At 36.0% G+C, this 24844-nt stretch overlaps 1 long non-coding RNA gene across 5 annotated transcripts in view, besides 1 other annotated feature; it reads left to right on the top strand.

The window, feature by feature from the left end:
- LOC101928570 (uncharacterized) overlaps positions 1 to 24844 on the top strand; it is a 248816-nt gene that overhangs the window by 127582 nt on the left and 96390 nt on the right. The window lies entirely within an intron of this gene.
- Positions 15486 to 15986: an enhancer, noted in NCBI's record as "H3K27ac hESC enhancer chr6:77883629-77884129 (GRCh37/hg19 assembly coordinates)". NCBI's record gives its function as "activates a minimal SCP1, AML or CMV promoter by ChIP-STARR-seq in naive H9 embryonic stem cells {active_cell/tissue: H9 hESC(naive)}" and the evidence as "EXISTENCE:reporter gene assay evidence [ECO:0000049][PMID:30033119]".

The following is a 24844-nucleotide window of genomic DNA, read 5'->3' as shown; positions in this document are numbered from 1 at the left end:
CAACCCAGTTATACACTTTTAGTTATTTTAAAATGAACAACTAAATAGTTTTGTACTATAGTCACCCTGTTGTGATATCAAATAGTAGGTCTTACACATTCTTTCTATTTTTGTACCCACTAACCATTCCCACTTCCTCCTTACATCCCCCTCCCCTACCTTTCCCAGCCTCTGGTACCTATCCTGCTATTCTGTCTCCGTGAGTTGAATTGTTTTGATTTTCAGATTCCACAAATAAATGAGAATATGTGATGCTTGTCATTCTGTGCCTGGCTTATTTCACTTAACATAATGTCCTCCAGTTCCATCCACGTTGTTGCAAGTGACTGGATCTCATTCTTTTTTATGGCTGAACATTACTTTATTGTATATATGTACCACATTTTCTTTGTCCATTCGTTGATTGATGGGCACTTAGATTGCTTCTAAATCTTGAATATTGTGAATAGTGCTGCACTAAACATGGGAGTGCAGATATCTCTTTAATATATTGATTTCCTTTCTTTGGGGTATATAGCTAAAAGGGGGATTGCTGGATCATATGGTAGCTCTATTTTTAGATTTTTGAGGAACCTCTAAACTGTGGTTCCTCTGTAGTGGTTTTACTTAGGTACATTTCCACCAACAGTGTTCAAGGGTTTCCTTTCACCACACCCTCACCAGCATTTGTTATTGACTGTCTTTTGGATACATGCCATTTTAACTGGGGTGAGATGATATCTCATTTTAGTTTTGATTTGCATTTCTCTGATTATCAATTATGTTGCACACCTTTTCACATACCTGTTTTCCATTTGTACATCTTCTGAGAATTGTCTATTCAGATCTTTTGCCCATTTTCTAATTGGATTATTAGACATTTTTCTATATAGTTGTTTGAGCTCCTTATGTATTCTGGTTATTAATTTCTTGTCAGAGGGGTAGTTTGCAAATATTTTCTCCCATTCTGTGGGTTGTCTCTTCACTTTGTTGATTGTTACTTTTGCCATACAAAAGTTCTTTAACTTGATATGATTCGATTTGTCCCTTTTTTGCTTTGGTTTCTTTTGCTTGTAGAGAATTACTCAAGAAATTTTGCCCAGACAGATGCCCCGGAGAGTTTCCTTGATGCTTTCTTGTATAATAGTAGTTTCATAGTTTGAGGTCTTACATTTATGTCTTTAATACATTTGATTGGATTTTTATACATGGTTAGAGATAAGAGTCTAGTTTCATTTTTCTGCATATGGATATCCAGTGTTCCCAGACCATTTGGTAAAGATGTCCATTTCCTAATATATGTTATTGGAATCTTTGTCAAAAATGAGATGTATGGATTTAGCTTTGGGTTCTCTATTCTGTTCCATTGATTTATATGTCTGTCTTTATAGAAATACCATGCAGTTTTTGTTACTATAGCTTGGCAGTATAATTTATAGTCAGATAAAGTGATTTCTTCAGTTTTGTTTGGCTTGCTTAGGATAGCTGTGGCTATTCTTGAATTTTGGTGGTTCTATATAAATTTTAGGATATTTTTCTATTTTTGTGAAGAATGTCATTGCTATTTTGATAGGGATTGCATTGACTCTGTAGACTGCTTTTGGAAATGTGCATGTTTTACCAGTACTACTTATTCTATTGGAAAATATTTTCCCTTTTTTTTGTGTCCTCTTCAATTTCCTGAACCAATATTTTATAGTTTTCATTTTAGAGACTTTTCACTTGTTTGGTTAGTTAATTCCTAGGTATTTTATTTTCTTTGTAACTATTGCAAAGTAAGTAGAATTATTTATTTTTCAAATTGTTATCTCTCTGACATATCAAACTGCTATTAATTTTTTAATTTTTATCTTGTACCTTGCAACCACGCTGAATTCATTTATCCATTCGAATAGTTTTTTTGTGTGGAGTATTTAGTTGTTTCCAAATATAAGAGAATTACACCATCTTCAAACAAGAATAATTTTGATGCCTTTATTTTTTCCTGTTGCCTGATTGCTTTGGCCAGGACTTCCAGTACTATGTTGAATAACAGTGGTGAAACTGGACATGCTGTCATGTTCCTGACCTTAGAGAAAAGGCTTTTGTTTTTCCCCATTTGGTATGATACTAGCTATGTGTCTTTTATTATGTTGAGAAATGTATTAATAACTTCTATACCCAGTCTTTTGAGAGTTTTTTAAATGAAATCATTTGAATTTTATCATATGCTTTTCCAGCATCAATTTAAATGCTCATACGGTTTTTGTCCTTCATTCTGTTGATATGATGTGTCACATTGATAGATGTGCATATGTTCATCATTTTTGCATACTTGGAGTAAATCCCATTTGGTCAAGTTGGATAATCTTTTTAATGTGTTGTTAAATTTCGTTTGCTAGTACTTTGTTGAGGATCCTTGCATCAATATTTATCAGTGATATTGGCCTATAATCTTTTTCTGTTGTGTCTCTGTCTGGATTTGGTATCAGCATAATACTGGCCTCAGAGAATGAGCTTGGAAGTTTTCCCTCCATCTTTATTTTTCATAATAGTTTGAGTAAAATTGATATTAATTGTTCTTTAAATGTTTGCTACAATTCAGCAGTGAAACCATCGGGCGTGGGTTTTTCTTTGATGGGAGACTTATTATTACAGCTTCAATTTTATTACTTGTTATTGGTCTGATAAAGCCTTGGATTTCTTCATGGTTTAATCTTTGTCAGTTGTATGTGTCTAGGTATTTATCCATTTCTTCTTGATTTTCCTATGTATTGGCATATACGTTGTTCATAGTAGCCTCTAATAATCTTTTGAATTTCTGCAGTATTAGTTGTAGTGTCTCCTTTTTCATCTCTGATTTTATTTATTTGGGTCTTCTCTCTTTTTGTCTTAATCAGTCTAACTAAAGCTTTATCAATTTTCTTTATCTTTTCAAAATATCAGCTTTTTGTTTTGTTGATTTCATATATTATTTTCTTCATTTCAGATTTATTTCTGCTTTAATCTTGATTATTTCTTTTCTTCTACTAATTTTGAGTCTGGTTGGCTCTTGCTATCGTAGTTCTTTAAAATGCATCATTAGTTTGTTTATGTGATGTTTTTCTTCTTTTTTGATGTAGGCACGTATAGCTATAAACTTCCTTCTTATACTGCTTTTGCTGTGTCACTTAGGGTTTCAGGGTTTTTTTTTTTTTAATTTTTTTTTTGTAGACAAGGTCTCACTATGTTGTTTAGGCTGGCTTTGAACTCCTGGGCTTAAGCAATCCTCCCACCTCAGCCTCCAAAGTGTTTGCCTTACAGGTGCGAACCATCACACCTGGCCCAAAACTGTTTTTTTCTGTTCAGTATCTTCAAGTTGAGTATGTTTAACAATGTGCAATATTTGCATTTTATGTTTGAGATTTGTTTTTATATGAAATTGTCATATATAGTAAAAGAAAAATATTATCCTTCAATGACATTTATTTTTTCCAGTAATTAGGTTTTCTATGTGTGTGCGTGTGTGTGTGTGTGTGTGTGTGTGTCACAGTTTTACTCTGTTGCCAAGGCTGGAGTGCAGTGGCACAATCTCGGCTCACTGCAATCTCCATCTCCCGGGTTCAAGTGATTCTTGTGCCTCAGCCTCCTGAGTAGATGTACTACAGGCATGCACCACCACACCTGGCTAACTGTATTATTAATAGAGATGGGGTTTCTCCATGTTGGTCTGGCTGGGCTCAAACTCTTGACCTCAAGTGATCCACCTGCCTTGCCTAGGTTTTCTACTTCTTAAATGAGTTTTTCATATCATTAAAACCCTTGTTATTTTTTGGTATGTTGTGTTTCCATTATCATTTGTTTCAAGAAAATTTTCAATTACATTCTTAATTTTTTCGTTGGCCTACTGATCATTCAGATGCATACTGTTTAATTTCCATGTGTTTGTATTGTTTCCCAAATTCCTCTTGTTATTGATTTCTAGTTTTATTTTATCATAGTCAGAGAAGATATTTGATATAATTTCAGTTTTTTTGAATGTCTTAAGACTTGTTTTGTGACCTAACATATGGTCTGTCCTTGAGAATGGTCCATGTGCTGTGGAAAAGAATGTGTATTCTGCAGCCATTGAATGGAATGTTCTGTAAATATCTGTTAGGTCCATTTGGTCTATATTAAGATTAGGTCCAATGTTTCTTGGTTGATTATCCTATATATAAGATTAAGTGCAGTGTTTCTTTGTTGATTTTCTGTTTAGAAGATCCATCCAATGCTGCTTAAAGTGGGTGTTGAAGTCTGTAGCTATTATTGTACTGAAGTCTTACCTTTCTTTTTTTTTTTTTTTTTTTTTTTTTGACAGAGTCTCACTTTGTCGCCCAGGCTGGAGTGCAGTGGTGTGATCTCAGCTCACTGTAAGCTCCGCCTCCCGGGTTCACATCATTCTCCTGCCTCAGCCTCCCGAGTAGCTGGGACTACAGGCGCCTGCCACCATGCCCGGCTAATTTTTTTGTATTTTTAGTAGAGACAGGGTTTCACTGTGTTAGCCAGGATGGTCTCGATCTCCTGACCTTGTGATCTGCCTGCCTCGGCCTCCCAAAGTGCTGGAATTACAGGCGTGAGCCACCGCAACCAGCCTATCTCTTTCTTTAGCTCTAATAATATTATCTTTATTATCTCAGCGCTCCAGTGCTGGGCACATATATTTTTAAAATTGTTATATTCTATTGCTGAATTGACCCCTTTATCATTTATAATGACCTTTTTTTGTCTCTTCTTATAGTTTTTGTCTTGAAATCTATTTCATCTGCCTTAAGTATAGCTACTCCTGTTCTTTTTTGGTTTCTATTGACATGAACTATCTTTTTCAATCTGTTTATTTTCAGTCTATGTGTCTTTATAGGTGAAGTGTGTTTCTTGAAGGCAACATATCATTGACTTTTCTTTTTATATCCATTCAGCCAGTCTGCATCCTTGATTGGAGAGTTTAGTTCATCTGCATTCAATGTTGTTAAGTAAGAACTTACTCCTGCCATTTTGTCATTTGTTTTCTGGTCTTCTCTTTCTTCTTTCCTATATCTTTTAGTGAAGGCAATTTTCCCTACTATGATTTAATTTCTTACTTTTTCATTTTTTATATATTCATTGTATTTTTTTTATTTCAAGTTACCACGAGGCTTGCAAATAGTATCTTACAACACATTATTTTAAGCTGATAACAACTTAATACTATTTGCATAAATAAACCATTAGAAAACTAATTTTAAAACTCTACACCTTATCTTTATCCCCCTACTTTTTAACTTTTTGTTGTTTCTATTTATATCTTATTGTACTGCCTATGTCTTGAAAAGTTGTAGTTATTATTCTTGATTGAATAATCTTTTAGTCTTTCTACTTAAGAGTAGTTTACACACAACATTTACAGTTTTATAATATTCTTTGTTTTTCTGTGCACTTCCTATCTGAATTCCTTCTCCGTTGTCTTGAATGTCACTGAGTTTCCTCAAAACAGCTGTTTTGAATTATCTGTCTGAAAGGTCAAATATCTCTGTCTCTCTGGGATTGGCCTCTGGTGCCTGATGTAGTTCATTTCAAGAGGTCATGTTTTTCTAGACAGTCTTAATGCTTGTGGATGTTTGTCAGTTTCTGGACATTGAACAGTTAGGTGTTTATTGTGATCTTTGCAGTGTGAGCTTGTTTGTACCAATCCTTTTTGGGAAGACTTTCTAGATATTTGAAAGATCTTGAGTATTGTGATCTAAGTCATATCTGCATTAAGGGGCAAGCCTACTAACATGTGGTTACCCAAGCCTACTAACACTGTGGCTCTTGCAGACTTGTAGAGGCACCACCTTGTTGACCTTGGATAATATCTGGAAGAATTCTCTGGATTACCAGGCAGAAACTTGTTTTCTTTCCGTACTTTCTCTCAAACTAATAGAATCTCTCTCTCATTATGAACTACCTGGAGCTGGGGGTGAAGTGACCCGAGCACCCTGTGGCCACCACCACTGGGTCTGTGCTTGGTCGGACAGACCTGAAGCCAGGACTGCACCAGGCCTCACCCAAGGCCTGCTGTAACTACTACCTAGCTATTGCTTATGTTTCCTCAAGGCCCTGGGGCTTTACAATCAGCATGTGGAGAAGCCAGCGGGGCTTCGTTCTTCCCTTCAGGTTGGCAAGTTCCCCCAGGCCCTAGGTGAGTCCAGAGGTGCTGTCTAGGAGCCAGGGATGCAGTCAAAACCTTAGAAGTCTACCCTGTGTTCTACTGTACTGTGGGTGTGCTGATGCAAACCATGAAATGCAGTACTTTCAATTCCGTCTTACCCTTTCCAAAGGTAGAACAGCCACACCCTATGGCTACCACCATCACAGGCCCACAGGAAGTACTGTCAGGCTACTGCCAATGTTCTCTTAATTCACACAGGTATTGCTGGGTGTTTCACAGGTGTGTTGTTATTGTGAATGGGTTATTATTTTTTATTTTCCCAATGGTTATTACTAGTATACATAATGATACTATTAATTTTTGTACACTGATATAATATATAGCACATTTGTTTAATCACTTTATTTATTGTAACAACATATAAACTAGTTTTAATGCATGTCCTAAGCATGTAATCATATTACCTACAAGGACTTCCATTTTTACAAAATGATTACACTATTTTGGTTTATTTCCAGACATATTTTATAGTTAAAAACTTTTAGGAATAATAATTATAAAAAACTAGAGTGAATACCATGGTCCTTTTCTTAGGCACTTTATTATCTATAATATTTTATCATTTATCTATGATTTTGCATGCTCGGTAGACGTATTCATTTCTTATTCACAAATATTATTCACTTTTATTTTGAGGTTTTAAATGAAAAATTGAGTATTTTAGTTTTATAAATAGCTTTTGTTTTACATAATCTGTCATATTACCTAATAAATCTGTTGATAGGAAACATGGCAGTTTACCATAGGAATCTACATCATATGAAATTGCTTTGTCCTAATTTTTCTATTCTAGGCCAATATCATTGATTGTAAAATCCTGATCTCTAATCAGAGTACCTGTGGTTTTATGATGAAATTCTGTGAAGAAATTTTAAAGTACTATTTTCCCTTTTAAATCTCAGTTCAATATAATTAACATCTAGAAAATGTGGAACCAACTCCTAGAAAGAGTGCTTTTTATTGTATATAAATTGTATCTCAATAAAATTGATTTTTCTAAATACTGAACCCACATTTGTTTAGTTTTTGTATTAATCTATTAATAAATTTAACTCTAGGTACTATGTTAGAACACTGGGGATACAAAAATGAGCAATGAAGAGTAAGAGCAGAAAACATACATTTTCTCCTTCTATTATGGGAGGAAGTGGTAGCACATAACATTCAAATATTCACATTATGGAAGAGGAGTTTATAAATGCAATAAATAATCTAATAGAATAAAAATATTTAATGGAAGCATGCAGGAATAGGGAAAACAGTTATGTTGATGAGGGAGTGGTGGTCTGAGAAGGCTTTCTAGCAATGGTAATTTTTGAGATGAGTTTGGAAGTATTAGTGAGAATGACAGTTTGAAGGAGAGAGGTAGGAGTGTCATAAAGAAGGGGAAATGCTTATGTAAAACCCTTGTGTCCTAAGCAGCTGAAATGCCTAAGAAACTGAAAGATTATTAAAGAAGCTGTAACTCTATAAAGTGAGCAGGAGAATATTAGATGCAATTGGTAGGGCCAGATGATGCCATGTCTCTATGGATTATGCAAGGAATTTTTATTTTTATCCTAAGAACACTGGGCAGTTGCTGAGGGATTTAGCATAGTTAGGATGAGTTAAATTATCATGGATCATGGTGGAGACAGGTGAAATGAAGAGGAGTGGATGAAGTGACACTTATTTAGAAAATAAAAGTCTATAGCTAAATGAGAAATTAAATCTTCTTCAAAGGTCCCGCCAAATTAGGAAAATGAAACTATGCAGGTCTCATGTCAGGTTGAGCTGCAACAGTGTCTGTTTCCTTCTGAAACTGGAAGATGTGCTTCAGAAAGTGAACAATTGCTCTGGGAGATCGAGTGTATTGCTGAAAACTGGAGTTTTTCTATACCTTATGGATTCTTTTACGTAATATTCTTACACCCCAATATTACAGTTTTGAACCAAAAAACATTTTCTTTAAAACTATATAGCTCACACCTTTAAATTAAGAATGAGTACTTTCATTTTACAAATAGCTTTCATTTTGCATATATAATCCTTGGTCTTTGAGACCTCGCACTTCCTTTAATTTCAATGTATCCATTATCTCTATGCATTAGTTAAGACTATTTTGGTTATAATTCATATAAATTAACTGCGGTAGCATAAGCAAAAGCCACTGCTCTTGCGGAGGACGCATTAATTGTTGAGAAACCAGATTGCATACTTTCTGTGTCCATCTCTCTCTTCTGCCTTCTCTATGTGTCATTTCTCTCAAATGACTTAGTGAAATGTGACTGCCATCAAGTTTACATATTATAGATCCATTTACCAGCCCCCCTTTGTCTCTCTCTCTTTCTCTCTCTTTTTCTCATTGACTAAATTCTAAATTCCAGTGGAAGGGACTCTGATTAAACCAGTTAGGATCAAGTTTCCATCCCTTGTGCAATTAGCCACAATCAGAATGATTGGTTATAAATGAAGATGGCTTCTGTGGATGCCTCTTGATCTGGGAAAAGGAAGTGGCTGGGAGTAAAGGGGTTGAGTTGAGGTGGGAGAACATTCTAAAAAGTTTGCAATTTTGCAGATAATTTTTCTCAAATACTCAATTTAAAAATGGCCTTGATAATACTGTATTTTAATACATCTTTCACAAAGTACAACTGTTAATATGTTATCAAGACCCCTAGAACATACACTTGGAAATATTTTATAGTATTCTAACATAACTATTTTACATAAAGATTTATAAATGTAATATATATTATGACCTGTTATTTTGAAGGCACAACACACATGAGGATAACAACAGAAACTCTTTTTTTTCTATTAAGTTTGCTTAACAATTCCTTTCTCCCCTGGAATGAAATTTTGTGTAAGTCCCATTGCTTTCCCAGTCCATCTAAATAATGAAAGTTGTCTGGTCACTTCAAAAATCTTAAAGAATACGTTTTAGTGTGATAACTGAAATTTGTAACATCCAAGTTAAATTTTTTCTCATCTCTGAGCTTGAGTTTACCTCAGGTAAAAAAGTAGATGGGTAGTTCCCCGTCCCTCATTTGACCTCCTTCCAATTCACCAGCCCTTGTTTCTGCCCTTAAGAAAGAAGATTTAGGTTAAAAGGCACAGATTCATGTCACTGATAGAGTTGTTCTGGGGCATTGGAATGCCTGAGAAGTGGCATATTTGAAAACTAATTTTTCTGTTATGAGAACATGATTGAAGAATCCTTCTGGTTGATTGCTTATGACTCATTGCTTAGCTCATCCACGTGGCCCTCTTGGAGGAGGGTCTTTAAGATAACTCCAGGCCAGCTCTGATTGACAGGTATCACAGCTAGACACCAGAAAACAAACATTTTCCAAGTTAATGAAAGTGCCACTTGCTGTTCATGCAGCCGTGTCTTGGCAGCCTAAAGCAATATAGTCAGAGCCTCTCTCTTCAGACTTTTAAGATATAGGTCAGAGTCCTGTGCTTTCGTCCCTTAACTCCATGAGATCTATGTCATGCTGTTTTAGTGATCATCTTGCAGCCTCTGTCCCTGGACTTAATATAAAAAGGAAGCACTCTTCTTATTCTCCACAGAGCACACCAAAAATTATTCTTAAATTTCCCTTTCACTCTTGAAGTATGGTCTGTGGAGCCGCAGTATGACCTAAGAAATTGTTGAAATTATACAATCTCAGGTCTCCCCTCAGATCTAATGCATTTTAGCAAGATCCCCAAGTGATTTGTACACAAATTAAAGTTTAAGAGCATTGTTTTATTTCACCTCTACTATTTTATAACTTCAATATGGAAGATGGATTAATATTGGCTGAAATGGATTTTGTAATCTCAGCATATCCCGCATAAGTAGTGCAGCACTTGGAAAGGGATTTTGGTCTTTGAGACCTCAGCTAAGACAGAATAAGAGAACTGCTTCAATATATGCATTATTCTAATACTTATCATAAAAATGCAAAATTCAAGAAAATAGGAAGTTGTTATGATTATACTAGTCAAAGACAATTATTGGGAATGTTTTCACTTTTATGTCTATGCCAAATTACATATTTGATATTTCCTTCAAAATAACAATGTAATAAGAATGTGCAATGTTAGTATATTCATAAAGGAGAAACAAAATATTTTATTTTTAATATATTTATTATTCATGAACACGTGCTTATAAAATCATACTACCAAGGAATTTGGTTAAAAGCCTATAATTCCCTTTCATTCCTCTACTCACTATCTCATAACTGATCCCCTCTTCTTAGCCAATTTTCCTATATTATTTGGTAAATATTGTTCAAGACTTTTTTTCTACATATACACATACTGGAAAATGTTTAACATAAATTGGTCTGTAATAGAAATCTGTTTTGCAACATGATTTTTACAGCCTGGAATGCCACAGTGATCCTTGTGTGTTAATACATTTAGATCTAAGTCATCTTGTTAATTACCAGTGTACTAATTATGAATATGCCAGACATTAAGCCACTTCCCTATTGGTGTGTATTTAGATTGTCTTTAAGTTTTACTGTTCTAACATAGCTGCTCTGAACCAAGACTGTTCTAACATAGCTGCTCTGAACCAAGCATCAATTCTACTCCTGCATCACTTCTCATGTTATCAGTGCACTGGAGTTCCTTTAAGTTTTCTATTCTTAGAAAGTATTTGGCCTACACCTCTATTTGAAGTACAGATTTCTCACTCATGCGCTACACTGTTGAAGATCCATGAGACTCACTGTGAGTCAACAATCTTCCTCAAAGCAATTTGGCAAGACTTTCCCACAAAGTCTCATTCTCTGGCTGCTCACTGTCTACGGCCTAATTCTTGGATATTTTTCTTTCCATTTTTAGATTATCATGTCTACTTTTGGTCTCCTGAGTTTAAACTGCCTTCTCTTTCTTTGTAGAAACAGATTCCAACTGAGTCCCTGGCACTACCCACCCATCCAGGTTCAGCACTCTCTCCAGCTTTGGGTGTGAAAATTCTCAAACCAGCTCCCAAAAGATTCACCCAGCATTAGGCATATGAATGCAAATTAAAACCATGATGTGACAATTTTTTGTGACATTAAAAGAAAGAAAAAAAAATTACAAAACACAGTGTTGATGAAGATGTGTGGAAGTCAGTACTCCTTTTCACTGCTTCTAGTAGAATTTATATCACAAGCTTTAAAACGGCGCTTCCCTATTGACGCAACCGTTAAACTTCAAGAAAAAGTGTTCTGAGAACATATTCATGATACTTGCAAATCTTTATCTTTAGTGATTTCAGATCCAGAATGGTTTATAATTGCAATACATTTGAAGCTACTGTTTGTCCTAGAAAGGACTAGTATTTCGTTTTGAAGGCGGGGGGTGATAAAATCATTAAAAATAATGATGTGAAAGATTAACTGATAACATAAAAAACTTTTCCTTATATTGTTAAATGAGCCAAAGCAAGTTATAAACCAGTTTATACAGACTACTCTTTAAGGAACTGTAGATCAATACTTTCTCTGTCTAGTTTTCTAAATTTAACCTTACTACAGATAATTTCTCACAATCAGACAGAATAGTCAGGATAGCACATGCTGGAAGCCTAATGACAATGCCCTTGATGTCAGTGAGTTTTAGTAGCCTGATAAAGTATATTACTTATAATGTGATTTGTTTTATATTTTAATTAAAATCATTGTTTACTAGTAACTTAGTTTGTAGACTAATTTATTTTGAGCATAAAACCTCTAGTCTTTTGCTAATTTGAATTGATACCATTTTTATAAGAATTAGTGAGAAATGCTAACGTCAGTCTTTCTGCCGTATTTGACACAGTAGAGTTATCTTCCTGATTAAATCTCTCTGTCTTGCCTTACAAAACATTTTATAGTCCAGCTTTCTCCCTCCCTGATAGTACTATTCTCTGGCTTCCTTTCTTCTTGTTTCTCCATTATTATGAATATTCCCAAAAATTCCACCTTTGAGCTTTGCCCTTATTTCTCATTTCTAATGGCAATAGCAATTCATTCATTCACTCACTCACTCATTCATAAATATGTTTTTTCAACACATACTTATTACTTAATGTTCCACACACTGGGATGGATGATGTCATACAATTTTGAGTAGGTCAGACTGACTTACTTAAATCACACAAGACATTTAAAGTTTAGTGATGTTGATGTATGAATAATAGTAGCCAACATTATTAAGTGTTTTTAATGAGTAAGGTACTAATACATTACATTAAGTTCTCACAAAACCTAATGAAGTGGACATTAATTTCATCCAGAATTTAGAGAAGAGTCTTATCATCATAAGTATGTTTTCTATGTTGTATTTATATGAGCAGGTGAGGATTTTTTCAATAGGTCCATTCTCTTCACCTGCCTAGTAGGGGCGAACCATGCAGTGGTTTAATGACAGTAGTTACTGCCTGGGAATCCCATTACAATCACCTGGAGGAGCTTTTGCAACTTTCAATTCCCAGGACACCTTTCAAACCAACTAAATCAGAAACTCCTGGGAAGGCAGGGGGGCATCAATGTTATTTAAAACTCCCAAGATAATTTCAATATACTGAAGTTAAGAATCACAGCTTAAACTTTGTTTGCATATCAGAATTATCCAAGGGGCTTCAAAACCTGATGTTAGGCATTCCTAGCAATTTTGATGTAATTGTCCTGAGGTTGAGACCAGGCATTAATACTTTTGAAAATCCATAGATAGATAATTAGATAGGATTAAGAATCTCTGTAATGGGACCCCCCATTTACTTACTTATAATTGTTAGATATGTTAAATTATCTTAAATGATTGTTTAGCCCTACCTTAAACCTTTTTCACTCAAAGAAAATAGAATGTCTTTGAGAGTTTATTTAGTCTTTCTGCAAAGAAGTTGGTTCTATAATCATAGTTGGCTTTATTCCATTTGCTAAAAACAATACCCTTAACAGGGAATTGCTCACTCATTCATTTGTTTTAGTTTTAAAATATTGTTTTTCCTTACCAAATTGTTTAATATTCAACCAAGACAAAATAATTCAAGTAATTCAATAGGTATTTGTTTACTAATAATTATGTGAAATGCCATACCATACCATTTTCTGCCAACTTAATGCAAAGAAATACATGAACATAAAATAATCATTGACGTAGTCATTCTGAATATCACATAAAAGAAAGTTAATTCTAAAATGTGTAGTTTAACATTGACTTAGAATTGGTGAGAAAGCACACCAATATCACACTATTAAACTATGCAATAATTAATTGAATATTTAAATTATTATATTTTAATATTTGTACTTGTCTAACCACATATTGTCCAATATATTAATAAAACATCTGTAATCCCTTCTTGTAGCTGTAATTAAAACAGAGCCTTGCTTTAACTGAAAAATGATTTTAACTAATAATGTATATTTACACAAAACTTACCATATGTAACATAATACATATAATATTATAATACAATACATATTGGACAAGACAATTTTTGTGGCCACGTATTTGCAGCATTCTTTAACAGGAATTGTTGGTGCTATTTGAAAACATACCCTGAATATAATTATTTATCATATTTCTACTGTCAAAACTCTAATCCAGTTCTCCATAGTCTTTCACCTGGACTACTGTGGTACCCTACTATCTAGTCTTCCTACTTAATTATTTTTCCCTATAATCCATCCACTCCACATTAACAAAAGTAATATTTTAGGAATACAAATCAGGTGATATACTTTTCTTGTTTACAACTCTCCAATGGTTTCTGTCAGAATTAGAGAGGCCGGGCACCATGGCTCACACCTGTAATCCCAGCACTTTGGGAGGCCGAGGCGGGCAGATCACCTGAGTTCAGGAGTTCCAGACCAGTCTGGCTAACATGAAAAAATCCTGTCTCTACTAAAAATACAAAATTAACCAGGCATGATGTTGCATGCCTGTAATCCCAGCTACTCTGGAGGCTGAGGTAGGAGAATCACCTGAACCTGGGAGGTGGAGGTTGCAGTGAGCCAAGATAGAGTCACTGCACTCCAGCCTGGGCAACGGAGTGAGACTCTATCTGAAAAAGAAAAAAAAGATTTAGAATAATTTTTATCACAATTAAAATAGAAGGTCCTACCTCTCTTTCCTCTCCTCATGTCATTTACTCTGTCATTCACTAAGCTGTAGTGGCATTAATCTTTTTTATTGTTGTTGTTCCTCTAATATGCCAGAGCATTTGCAACAGCTCTAGCTTCTACTTGAAATGTTCTTCCTGTAGATCTTTGTGTGATCCCTTTAGTACCATGAAGAACTGAATGATCAAAGCATCCTCTCACAAACCATAGCACTTACCAATACAAGAGTGCCAAATAATTACTAAAGTATACAAGGAAAAAGCAAGTAAACAAACCATATTTCACCATTGTTTCCAGGATAGCCAATTGAAATCATAGGCATGTGATTCATTTGTTACACAAGATAGATTAGAAAACCTGAATAGCTATATGACTGTTAGGGAAATTGAATTTGTAGTTACAGCCTTCTGAAAAATAAATTTCTAGGCTCAGATATATCCACTATAAAGTCTACCAAACACTTAGTGGAGAAATAATACCAAATCTGCACAATCTGTGCCAAAGAATAGAAGAGAAGATTACACGTCCTAACTCATGTTATAAAGTCAGGATTAGCCTTGTATCAAAATTATACAGATAATAAAAAAGAAAAGAAAATACAAACCTATTTCCATCATGAATATGGATGCAAAAATTCTCAAAAATATGTTAGCAAATAATGCCCATGAATATATTAAAACATACTAAAACACTAATGTACCATGACCAAGTGGGATTTAGTCCAGGCATACAAGGATGGTTTAATATTAGAAAATCAGTCAATGTCACCCACCACATCAGTAGTCTAAGGAAGAAAAGTCGCATTTTCTTATCAATGGATGTAAAAATATTTGAACAAAAATCCAACACCTATTGAGATTAAAGGTTGAACTTATTTTTTTCCCCAAGATGGTGGATTAGAGGCTTTGTTAGCATGCCTCATCTACTTGTAAATAGCAAAATAGTGTGTGGAATTTCACAGTGATCTTTTATTCAAGAAGGAAAATGAGAATTCATTGGAAAAGTGAAGTACACTTCAGATTCCGGGAAAGAGAAGTTGGGCAAGCAGCCTTTATGATCACATTTGGCTGAGAACTGTGAGTGTAACCCCAATATGGGAGAAGGACAGAGAGTGTACCTCTGTGATCTACCTTTCAATGGGGGAACCATACAACCAGGCCATGGAAGAGCACCTTGTCCCTCCCAAGTGCTGGATCTGACTTGGGGAGTGGCTGAGTGACTGTGAAAAGGAAAGGCGCTAGAAAAGACTTCAGGCATTTTCCCAGGAGGATGCCATTCTCTATCCAGGCACATACCAAGCCAGGTAATATTTGGCAATCTGGCTGCAGTGGCCACTGAGTACATTTAAGTCTTGGGCTGGAGATTGAAGCACTTGGTTTGGAGTATGGGAAGGGCGCCCATCAGCAGAACTGAGAGGCAAGTGTGGAATGTACTCCAGCTGCAGGCACTGGAATTGGGCTCTCTCCCTCATGGGACTAGAGCAGGAGGAGATTTTGCTGGAGCCACAGTTTTGCCTGGGTGGCAAGATTGCAGACAGCAACAGCTTTGTACCTGGGGACCAGTCTATGTGTGACATTGCAGGGTACCTCATCTTGCTCTCTTAGGAAAGAGACTGAACTCTGCTGATTCCGAGGAGTGGGAGGGAGGCTGATCCCAATCCTACTTGCCTGGATTGAAAGCGTGGGCCACCCCTCCCTTCCTGTGCGGGGAACTTGGTGCATCAGTGGTTTCTCAACTCCTTGCCTGGGCATATCTCTGGGCATTTGGTGGCTGCCCCTTGGACTCCCACTGAAGCTGGTGCTTGCACCAGCCATTGGGGGACTCACGTGTCATCTTGTCCAGTCCAGCTCTGCCCAGCTTCATTTCCCCCACTCTGGAGCTAAGTATGGAGCCCGGGTGACGGTACATTCCATGGCCCTGCCCATTGCCTGAGACACTGGAGAACTCCTGGTAAACAAAGATCAAGCAGAAGGCCTACTGTTACTTCCACATCCAGCTTTTGCCTGCTAGCGTCACCTACTGGCCTAGAGGTAGGCCTGAACAACCCAATACATAATCTGCTGACACAACTGTATGGCACTTGGGAAAAACATACAGTTCTTAAAAATCCTGCCACCTCAGCTTCACAGGAGGCTGTGAGACTGCTCACATGCACAGTGTACCACTTCTACAACCAGCATTTGAGCCACCACAATAAGGCTATCTATAACCAAGGAATTCATACGGTGCGTCACCATTGAAAACATACAGAAGCAAAGCCAAATAATCCATGAAAACATACAGAAGCAAAGCCAAATAATCAACATACATTATAGTCACATCCTCAAGGAAAACAAAGTCCTGTCCCAGTGAAAATAAACTCGGAGAGTGGACGGAAGAAAGACACAGAAGCTGGGATGAAGGGAGAGAAAGTTGGGAACCCGCATGGGCTATTGTGCACCAGGATTCGTTTTTAACCACAATAGCTCTGAGGCAATGGGTGAGTTGAACTGGCAAGGAGCAACCCACTCTCACCATGGGCTCTGAAACCCCACCAGGAAGGGACCCCTTGACCACCACAGACACTTGAGATGACTGGGAGAGTTGCTTAAAGAAGTGGGGTGGGGCAGCAACCAGCTGATGTGGAGCCCAGAGGGTTGGTGCTGGAGCACCTGTAGTGGAGCATGGCCAGGGACAGCCATTCTTCTAGGCTCAACTTTCTCCCATAAGAGACTTTAGCCCCAGGGGCACTATTTGATGTGATCTTTGCAGGATGGTCTTGCACATCAGACGGTGCTGGTCGGACCTGAGCACCCGTTGGTCTGCTGGCCTCTCCCAGGGGCCCAGCCTGCCCACATCTGCTTACAGGGCAGTCTTGGTTGCCCTGCGGGCCCACACCATAGCTTCTGTGCCTGACCAGTAGAGAGCTCCAGTGAGGTGACCCCTATGGCCGCACACTAGCCTGCATGCTCTCTTCCTATACTGCAGCATCCCCTGAGCCCATGGCAATGGGACTGGTATGTGTCTGCATGGGTGCGTTTTACTTTACTTGCACCACTAGCAAATGAGAGTGCAGTCCATCACCTCTCTCCATGCTTGCCACCTTTGCAGAGCAAGCCTTGGTGAGCACAGAGCCAGCCAGCCCCATCCCCACCAGTGCCCCAACCCTGCACTAACACTGTGCAGAGAACAGTGGATCCTCCCATACCCTGAACAATCATTCCTGCTTGTGAGGCTAGCCAAATCCAGTAGTGCCTCAAAAAGTTTATCCACCACAGTCAAGTAGGCTTTATCCCTGGATGCAAACTTGGTTCAACATACACAAATCATTAAATGTAATTCATCACATAAACAGGACCAAAGACAAAAACAACATGATTATCTCAATAGAAGCAGAAAGGTCTTTCAACAAATGTCAACATCTCTTCATATTAACAACCCTGAATAAACTTCGTATTGAAAGAACATACCTCAAAATAATAAGACGCATGTATGAAAAACACACAGCCAACATCATACTAAATGTGCAAAAGCTGGAAATATTTTCCTTGAAAACCAGTATAAGAGAAGTACGCCCTCTCTCACCACTCCTATTTAACATAGTATTGGAAGTTCTGGCCAGGACAGTCAGGCAAGAGAAATAAATAAAAGTCATCCAAATAAAAGAGGAAGTCAAACTATCCCTGTCTGCAGATGACATGATTCTATATCTAGAAAACCCCATAGCCTCAGCCCAAAAGATTCTTAAGCTGATAAACAACTTCAGCAAAATCTGAGGATACTAAATAAATGTGAATAAAATTACTAGCATTCCTACAGTCAATGTAAGAGCCAAATGAGGAACATACTCCCATTCACAATTGCCATGAAAATAAAGAATACCTAGGAATACCGCTAACTAGGGAGGTGAAAGAGCCCTGCACGGAGAACTACAAAACACTGCCCAAAGAAATCAGAGACAGCACAAAGAAATGTTAAAATATTTTATGCTTATGGGATAGGAATAATCAATATCATTAAAATGTCATACTGCTTAAAACAGCTTACAGATTCAATGCTACTCCTATTAAGCCACCATGAAATTCTTCACAGAACTAGAAAAAAAAAACTGTTTTAAAATTCATATGGAACCAAAAGAGCCCGAATATCCAGAGAAATCCTAAGCAAAAAGAACATGGCTGGAGGCATTGTGCTACCTGACTTCAAACTATACTACAGGGCAAGAGTAACCAAAACAGCATGGTACTGATACAAAAACAGACACATAGACCAATGGAAAAGAATAGAGAACCCAGACATAAGACTGCATACCAACAAGTATCTGATCTTCATTGAATCTGACAAAAACAAGCAATGGGGAAAGGATTCCCTATTCGATAAATGGTGGTGGGATAACTGGCTAGCCACATACAGAAGACTGAAACTCACTCGTTTTGTATACCATATACAAAAATTAGCTCAAGATAAATTAAAGACTTAAATGTAAAACCAACCCAAAACTTTAAAAAACCTGGAAGATAACTTAGGCAATAACGTTCTGGACATAGGAACAGACAAAAAATTTATGAAAAGACACCAAAAGCAATTACATAAAAAGCAAAAATTGACAAATGGGATCTAATTAAACTCAAGAGCTTCTGCCCAGCCAACTGTCAATAGAGCAAACAGACAATCTAAAAAATGGGAAAAAAAATTTGCAAACTCTTCATCTGACAAAGGTCTAACATCCAGCATCTATAAGGAACTTAAGCAAACTCACAAAAAAATAAAAAATGGGCAAAGGACATGGAGAGACACTTCCTAAGAAAACATATATGTGACCAATAATCATATGAAAAGATAAAAACTCAACATCACTGATGATCAGAGAAATGCAAACAAAAACCACAATGAGATACCATCTCAAACCAACCGAGTGGCTATTACTAAATAGTCAAAAAATAACAGATGCCAGTAAGGTTGTGGAGGAAAAGATGTACTTATACACTGTTGGTGGGAATGTCTATTAGTTCAACTACTGTGGAAGATAGTGTGGAAATTCCTCAAAGACCAACATACAGAAATACCATTTGACCCAGCAATCTTATTACTGTGTTTATACCCAAAGGAATATATATTTTTATGTTATAAAGACACATGCTGGCCAGGTGAGGTGGCTCATGCCTATAATCCCAGCATTTTGGGAGGCTGAGGTGGGTGAATCACTTGAGATCAGGAGTTCGAGACCAGCCTGATCAACGTGGCAAAACCCTGTCTGTACTAAAAATCCAAAAAAAAAAAAAAAAAAAAAGCTGCACATTGTGGCACACGCCTGTAATCCCAGCTACTTGGGAGGCTGAGGGAGAATTGCTTGAGCCTGGGAGGTGGAGGTTTCAGTGAGCTGAGATAGTGCCACTGCACTCCAGCCTGGGCAACAGAGCGAAACTCCATTTCCCAAAAAAAAAAAAAAAAAAAAAAAAAAAAGACACATACATATGTTCATTACTGCGCTATTCAGAATAGCAAAGACAGAATAGAGTTAACCTAAATGCCCATCAATGACAGACTGGATAAAGAAAATGTGGTAAATATACATCATGGAATACTATGCAGATATAAAAAAAGAATGAGATTAAGTTGTTTGCGGGACATGGATAAAGCTGGAGGCCGTTACCTTCTAACAAACTAATGCAGGAACAGAAAACCAAACACCACATTCTCTCACTTATACATGGGAACTAAATGATGAGAACACAGGGACTTACAGAGGGAAACAAATCACATTGGGACTTATAAGAGGGTAGAGGTTGGGAAGAGGGAGATGATCAGAAAAAAATAAATAATGGGTACTAGACTTAATACCTGGGTGATGAAATAATCTGTACAACAAACCTCCATGATACAAGTTTACCTATGTAACAAACCAGCACATATACCTCTGAACTTAAAAGTTAAAAATAATATTTTTAAAAGTACACTCAAAAATAAGAAGTGACAGTCACTGCAGATGAAAAGAAACCAAAATAACAATTCTAAAACTATTTTAAAAAACTGTTTTATGAAACTCCTAAAGGATCACACTAACTTTCCAGCAATGGGTCCTAAGCAAAATGAAGTTATTGAAATACCAGATACAGAATTCAAAATACTGATTTTTAAAGAAGCTCAATTAGGATAAAGAGCAAACTGAAAATGGTTACAAATAAATCAGAAAATCAATCTAGAACATGAATGACAAATTTACCAGATAAACAGATGTTTAAAACATCAAAAAGAACTTCTGAAAATGAAAAATCTCTTGAAGAAATTACAAAAAATAGATAAAGTCTTCAGCAACAGACTAGATGAAGCAGAAGAAAATAAATCTCAGAACTTGAAGAAAAGTCTTTTGGATTAATCCAGTAAGACAAAAACATTTTTTAAAAATGAATTAAAAATAATGAAAAAGGAGTACAAAATATGGCCAAACATATAAGTCAAGCAAAAAATTTGGAAAACTTATTTAGGAAAGTAATTAGTAAAAAATTCCCTAGTCTAGCAAAAGATTTAGGTATCCAGATACAAAAGTCACAACAAAACCCAGAAAAATACATTGCAGGAAAGGCTTCATCATGAAATACAGTCATCAGACTTTCTAAGGCCAATGTGAAGGAAATAAATATTAAAATCAGGAGGAGAAAAGCATCTATCACCTATAAAGGTAACTCCATCAGACTAACAGCAAACTTCTCAGCAGAAGCATTACAAGCCAGCAAAGATTAGGATTCTATTTTCAAAGTGCATAAAGAAAAAAAAATGTCAATCCTGATTTTTGTGTCCTACTAGAATAAGTTTTATAAATGAGGAAATAAAGTCTTTCCCTGACAAGCAGATGCTGAGGGACTTTATCACCACTAGACCAGACCTCCAAGCAATGTTCAGTGAAGTTGTAAACATGGAAACAAAAGACTGATACTCACCTTCATAAAATCACACAAAACTATAAAACTCACAAGTATAAAAAACAATTTCACAAGTGAAGAAGAGAAAGAAATCAAACACCAATATGACAGAATTCAAGCAAACTAAAAGACAAAAAGAGAAAAAAAAACAATGAATCTACACAGCAACTAGACAACAATTAACATCATGACAGGAACAAAACACTCAGATTAACCTTGAACATAAATAAATTTAATGCTCCACTTAGAAATAAAGTGGTGAAATGGATTAAAAATACAAACCAACTATATGTTACTTATAAAAAACTTCAACTTACTGGTAAAGACAGTTACAGTCCGAAGGCAAATGGGTGGAAAAGGATATTTTATGCAAATGGAAAGAAAAAGCAAGCAGGAGTAGCTACCATTATATCAAATCAAACATACTTTAAATCATCAACAGTTAAAAAAAAAAAAGAAAAAGAAACTCATATCATGGTAAAGGGACCAATTCACAAGAAGATATGAAAATTCCAAATATACATGCACTTAACACTGGAGCACCCAGATTCATGAAACAAATATTACCAGACCTAAAAGAGACAGACAACAATACAATAATAGTGGAGGACTTCAACACCCCATTGACAACACTAGAAAGATAATTGAAACAGAAAATCAAGAAAGAACAGTAGACTTAAATTGAACTTTAGACCAAATAAACTTAATTTGTAGAGATTTCTGCCCAAGAACTGCATAATACACATTCTTTTCATCAGTACATGACACATTCTCCAAGATAGACCATATGTTATGCTACAAAACAAGTCTCAATTAATGTAAAAAATATAAATTATGCCAAGTATTTTGTCAGACCACAGAGGAATAAAACTAAAAAATAAATTAAAGACAAACACTTGAAATTATACAAATATAAAAAAATTAAACAACATACTCCTGAACAATATTTAGGTCAACAACAAAATTAAGACATATTTTGAAAATTTTATTGAAACAAAAAGGGAAACACAACATACAAAAAACTCTGAGATAAAGCACAGCAGTGCAAGAGGGAAGTTTACAGTATTAAATGCCTAGATCAAAATATCACAAATTAGCAACCAAACATCTCATTTACCTCAATTAAGAAGTAAAACAAGAACAAACCAAACCCAAAGCTAACAAAAGAAAGGAAATAACAAAGATCAGAGAAGAACTAAATGAAACTGAGAATGAAAAAATCATACAAAGGACCAAAAAAACAAAAAGTTTGCTCTTTTTGTTCTTTGAAAAGATACAAAAAATTGATTGAACAATAGCTATATTAACCAAGTTAAGAGAATACTATGCAGCCATAAAAAATGATGAGTTCATGTCCTTTGTAGGGACATGGGTGAAGCTGGAAACCATCATTCTCAGCAAAGTATCGCAAGGACAAAAAACCAAACACTGCATGTTCTCACTCATAGGTGGGAATTGAACAATGAGAACACATGGACACAGGAAGGGGAACATCACACACCAGGGACTGTTGTGGGGTGGGGGAAGCGGGGAGGGATAGCATTAGGAGATATACCTAATGCTAAATGACGAGTTAATGGGTGCAGCACAGCAACATGGCACATGTACACATACGTAACAAACCTGCACGTTGTGCACACGTACCCTAAAACTTAAAGTATAATAATAATAAAATTTTAAAAAAGACTCAAGCAGATATAATCAAAAATTTAAAAAGAAACATTGCAACTGATATGACAGAAATACAAAAAATTATCAGACTACTATGGAAAACTGTATGTCCACAAACAGGAGGAAATGAATACATTCCTGGAAACTTCCCAAGATTGAACCAGCAAGAAGTAGAAATCCTGAACATATCAATAACAAGTAGTGAGAATGAATCAATAATATCTCCCTAGTACCCCTAGAAAAAAGTGAAGACCAAATGAATTCACAGCCAAACTCTACCAACTGTGCAAGGAAGAACTATTACCAATCCTCCTAAAATGCTTTCAAAAAAATCAAGGAAGAAGCTTTCTAACTCACTTTACAAAGCCAGTGTTAACCTGAAATCAAAGCCAGGCAAGAGCACAACAGAAAAGGAAAACTTAAGACTAATATTTCTAATAAACATAGATGAAAAATCCTTAACAAAATATGAGGAAACGGAATCCAACAGCAAATCACAAAGATAATACACTGTGATCAGGTGGGTTTTATTCCAGGGAAACAAGGATGGCTCAAATACACAACTCAATATACGTGATTTATCACATAAACAGAATTAAAAACAGAAACCATATGATCATCTCAATAGATTAAAAAAAGCACCTAATAAAAGTTAGAATCCCTTCATGATGAGAACCTTCAACAAATGAAAACCATCAACAAACTAAGCATCAAAGGCACATTCCTTAAAATAATAAGTCATTCATGGCCAGGTGTGATGGCTCACACCTGTAATCCCAGCACTTTGAGAGGCAGGAGGATCACTTGAGCCAAGGAGTTTTAGATTAGCCTGGGCAACACAGTGAGACCTCATCTCTAGAGAAAATACAAAAATTAGCTGAGTGTGGTGGCATACACCTGTAGTCCCATCTACTCAGGAGGCTGAGGTAGGAGGATCACTTGAGCCTTGGAAGTCAAGGCTATAGAGAGCCATGATTGCACCACTGCACTCCAGCCTGGGCAACAAAGTGAGACCCTGTTTAAAAAAACTTAAAAGCTATTTATAACAAATCCAGAGTAAATATCATTCCTAACAAGAAAAAGCTGAAAGCACTTTTCCTGAGATCTTGAACAAGGCAAGGATACCCACTTTCACTATTCCTTAACATAGTACTGGAAGTCCTAGCCAGAGCAATCAAGAACGAGAAAGAAATAAAATGCATCTGAATTGGAAAAAGAGGTAGTAAAATTATTTCTATTTGCTGATGATGTGATCTTACATCTAGAAAACCCTAAAGGTGCCTCCAAATGATTGCTAGATTTAATGAAGCAATTTAGTAAAGTTACAAGCTACAACATAAATATACAAAAATTAGTCGCATTTCTAAACACCAATAATGATAAAGCTAAGAACCAAATCAAGTAGTGAATCCTATTTACAATCATTAAGACATTCCTAGAAATATATTTAACCAAAGAAGTAAAAGCATTCCATGTTCATGGATTGAAAGAAGCAACGTCATTAAAATGACCAAACTGCCCAAAGCAATCTACAGATTCATTGAAATTCCTATGAAAATACCAAATTCACTTTTCATAGAATTAGAAAAAAATCTAAAATTCAAATTTAGATGAAACCAATAAAACAGGCCGAATAGCCAGAGCAATTCTAAGCTGAAATAATAACGACAAGCTGGAGGCGTTACAGTACCTGACTCCAAATTAGACTACAAGGCTATGGTAACCAAAACATCACGCTACTAGCACAAAAATAAATACATTGATCAATGGAACAGAATAGAGAACCAATAGAGCAACATAATTATATCCAACTGATCTTTGACAAAGTTGACAAAAACATAACCTGGGGAAAGAACTCCCTATTCAAGATATGGTGCTTGGAAAACTGGACTGCCATATATAAAAGAATAAAGCTGTAGCCCTCTCCCTCACCATATACAAAGACTTAAACATAAGACCAAAAACTATAAAAATCCTCCAAAATAAGCTAGGAAAAACTCTTTTGGATATTGGCTTGGGCATATAACTTATGA

Source organism: Homo sapiens, chromosome 6, assembly GCF_000001405.40.
Source record: "Homo sapiens chromosome 6, GRCh38.p14 Primary Assembly".
Taxonomy (NCBI): Eukaryota; Metazoa; Chordata; class Mammalia; order Primates; family Hominidae; genus Homo; species Homo sapiens.
This window is presented reverse-complemented; position numbering and strand designations above follow the sequence as displayed.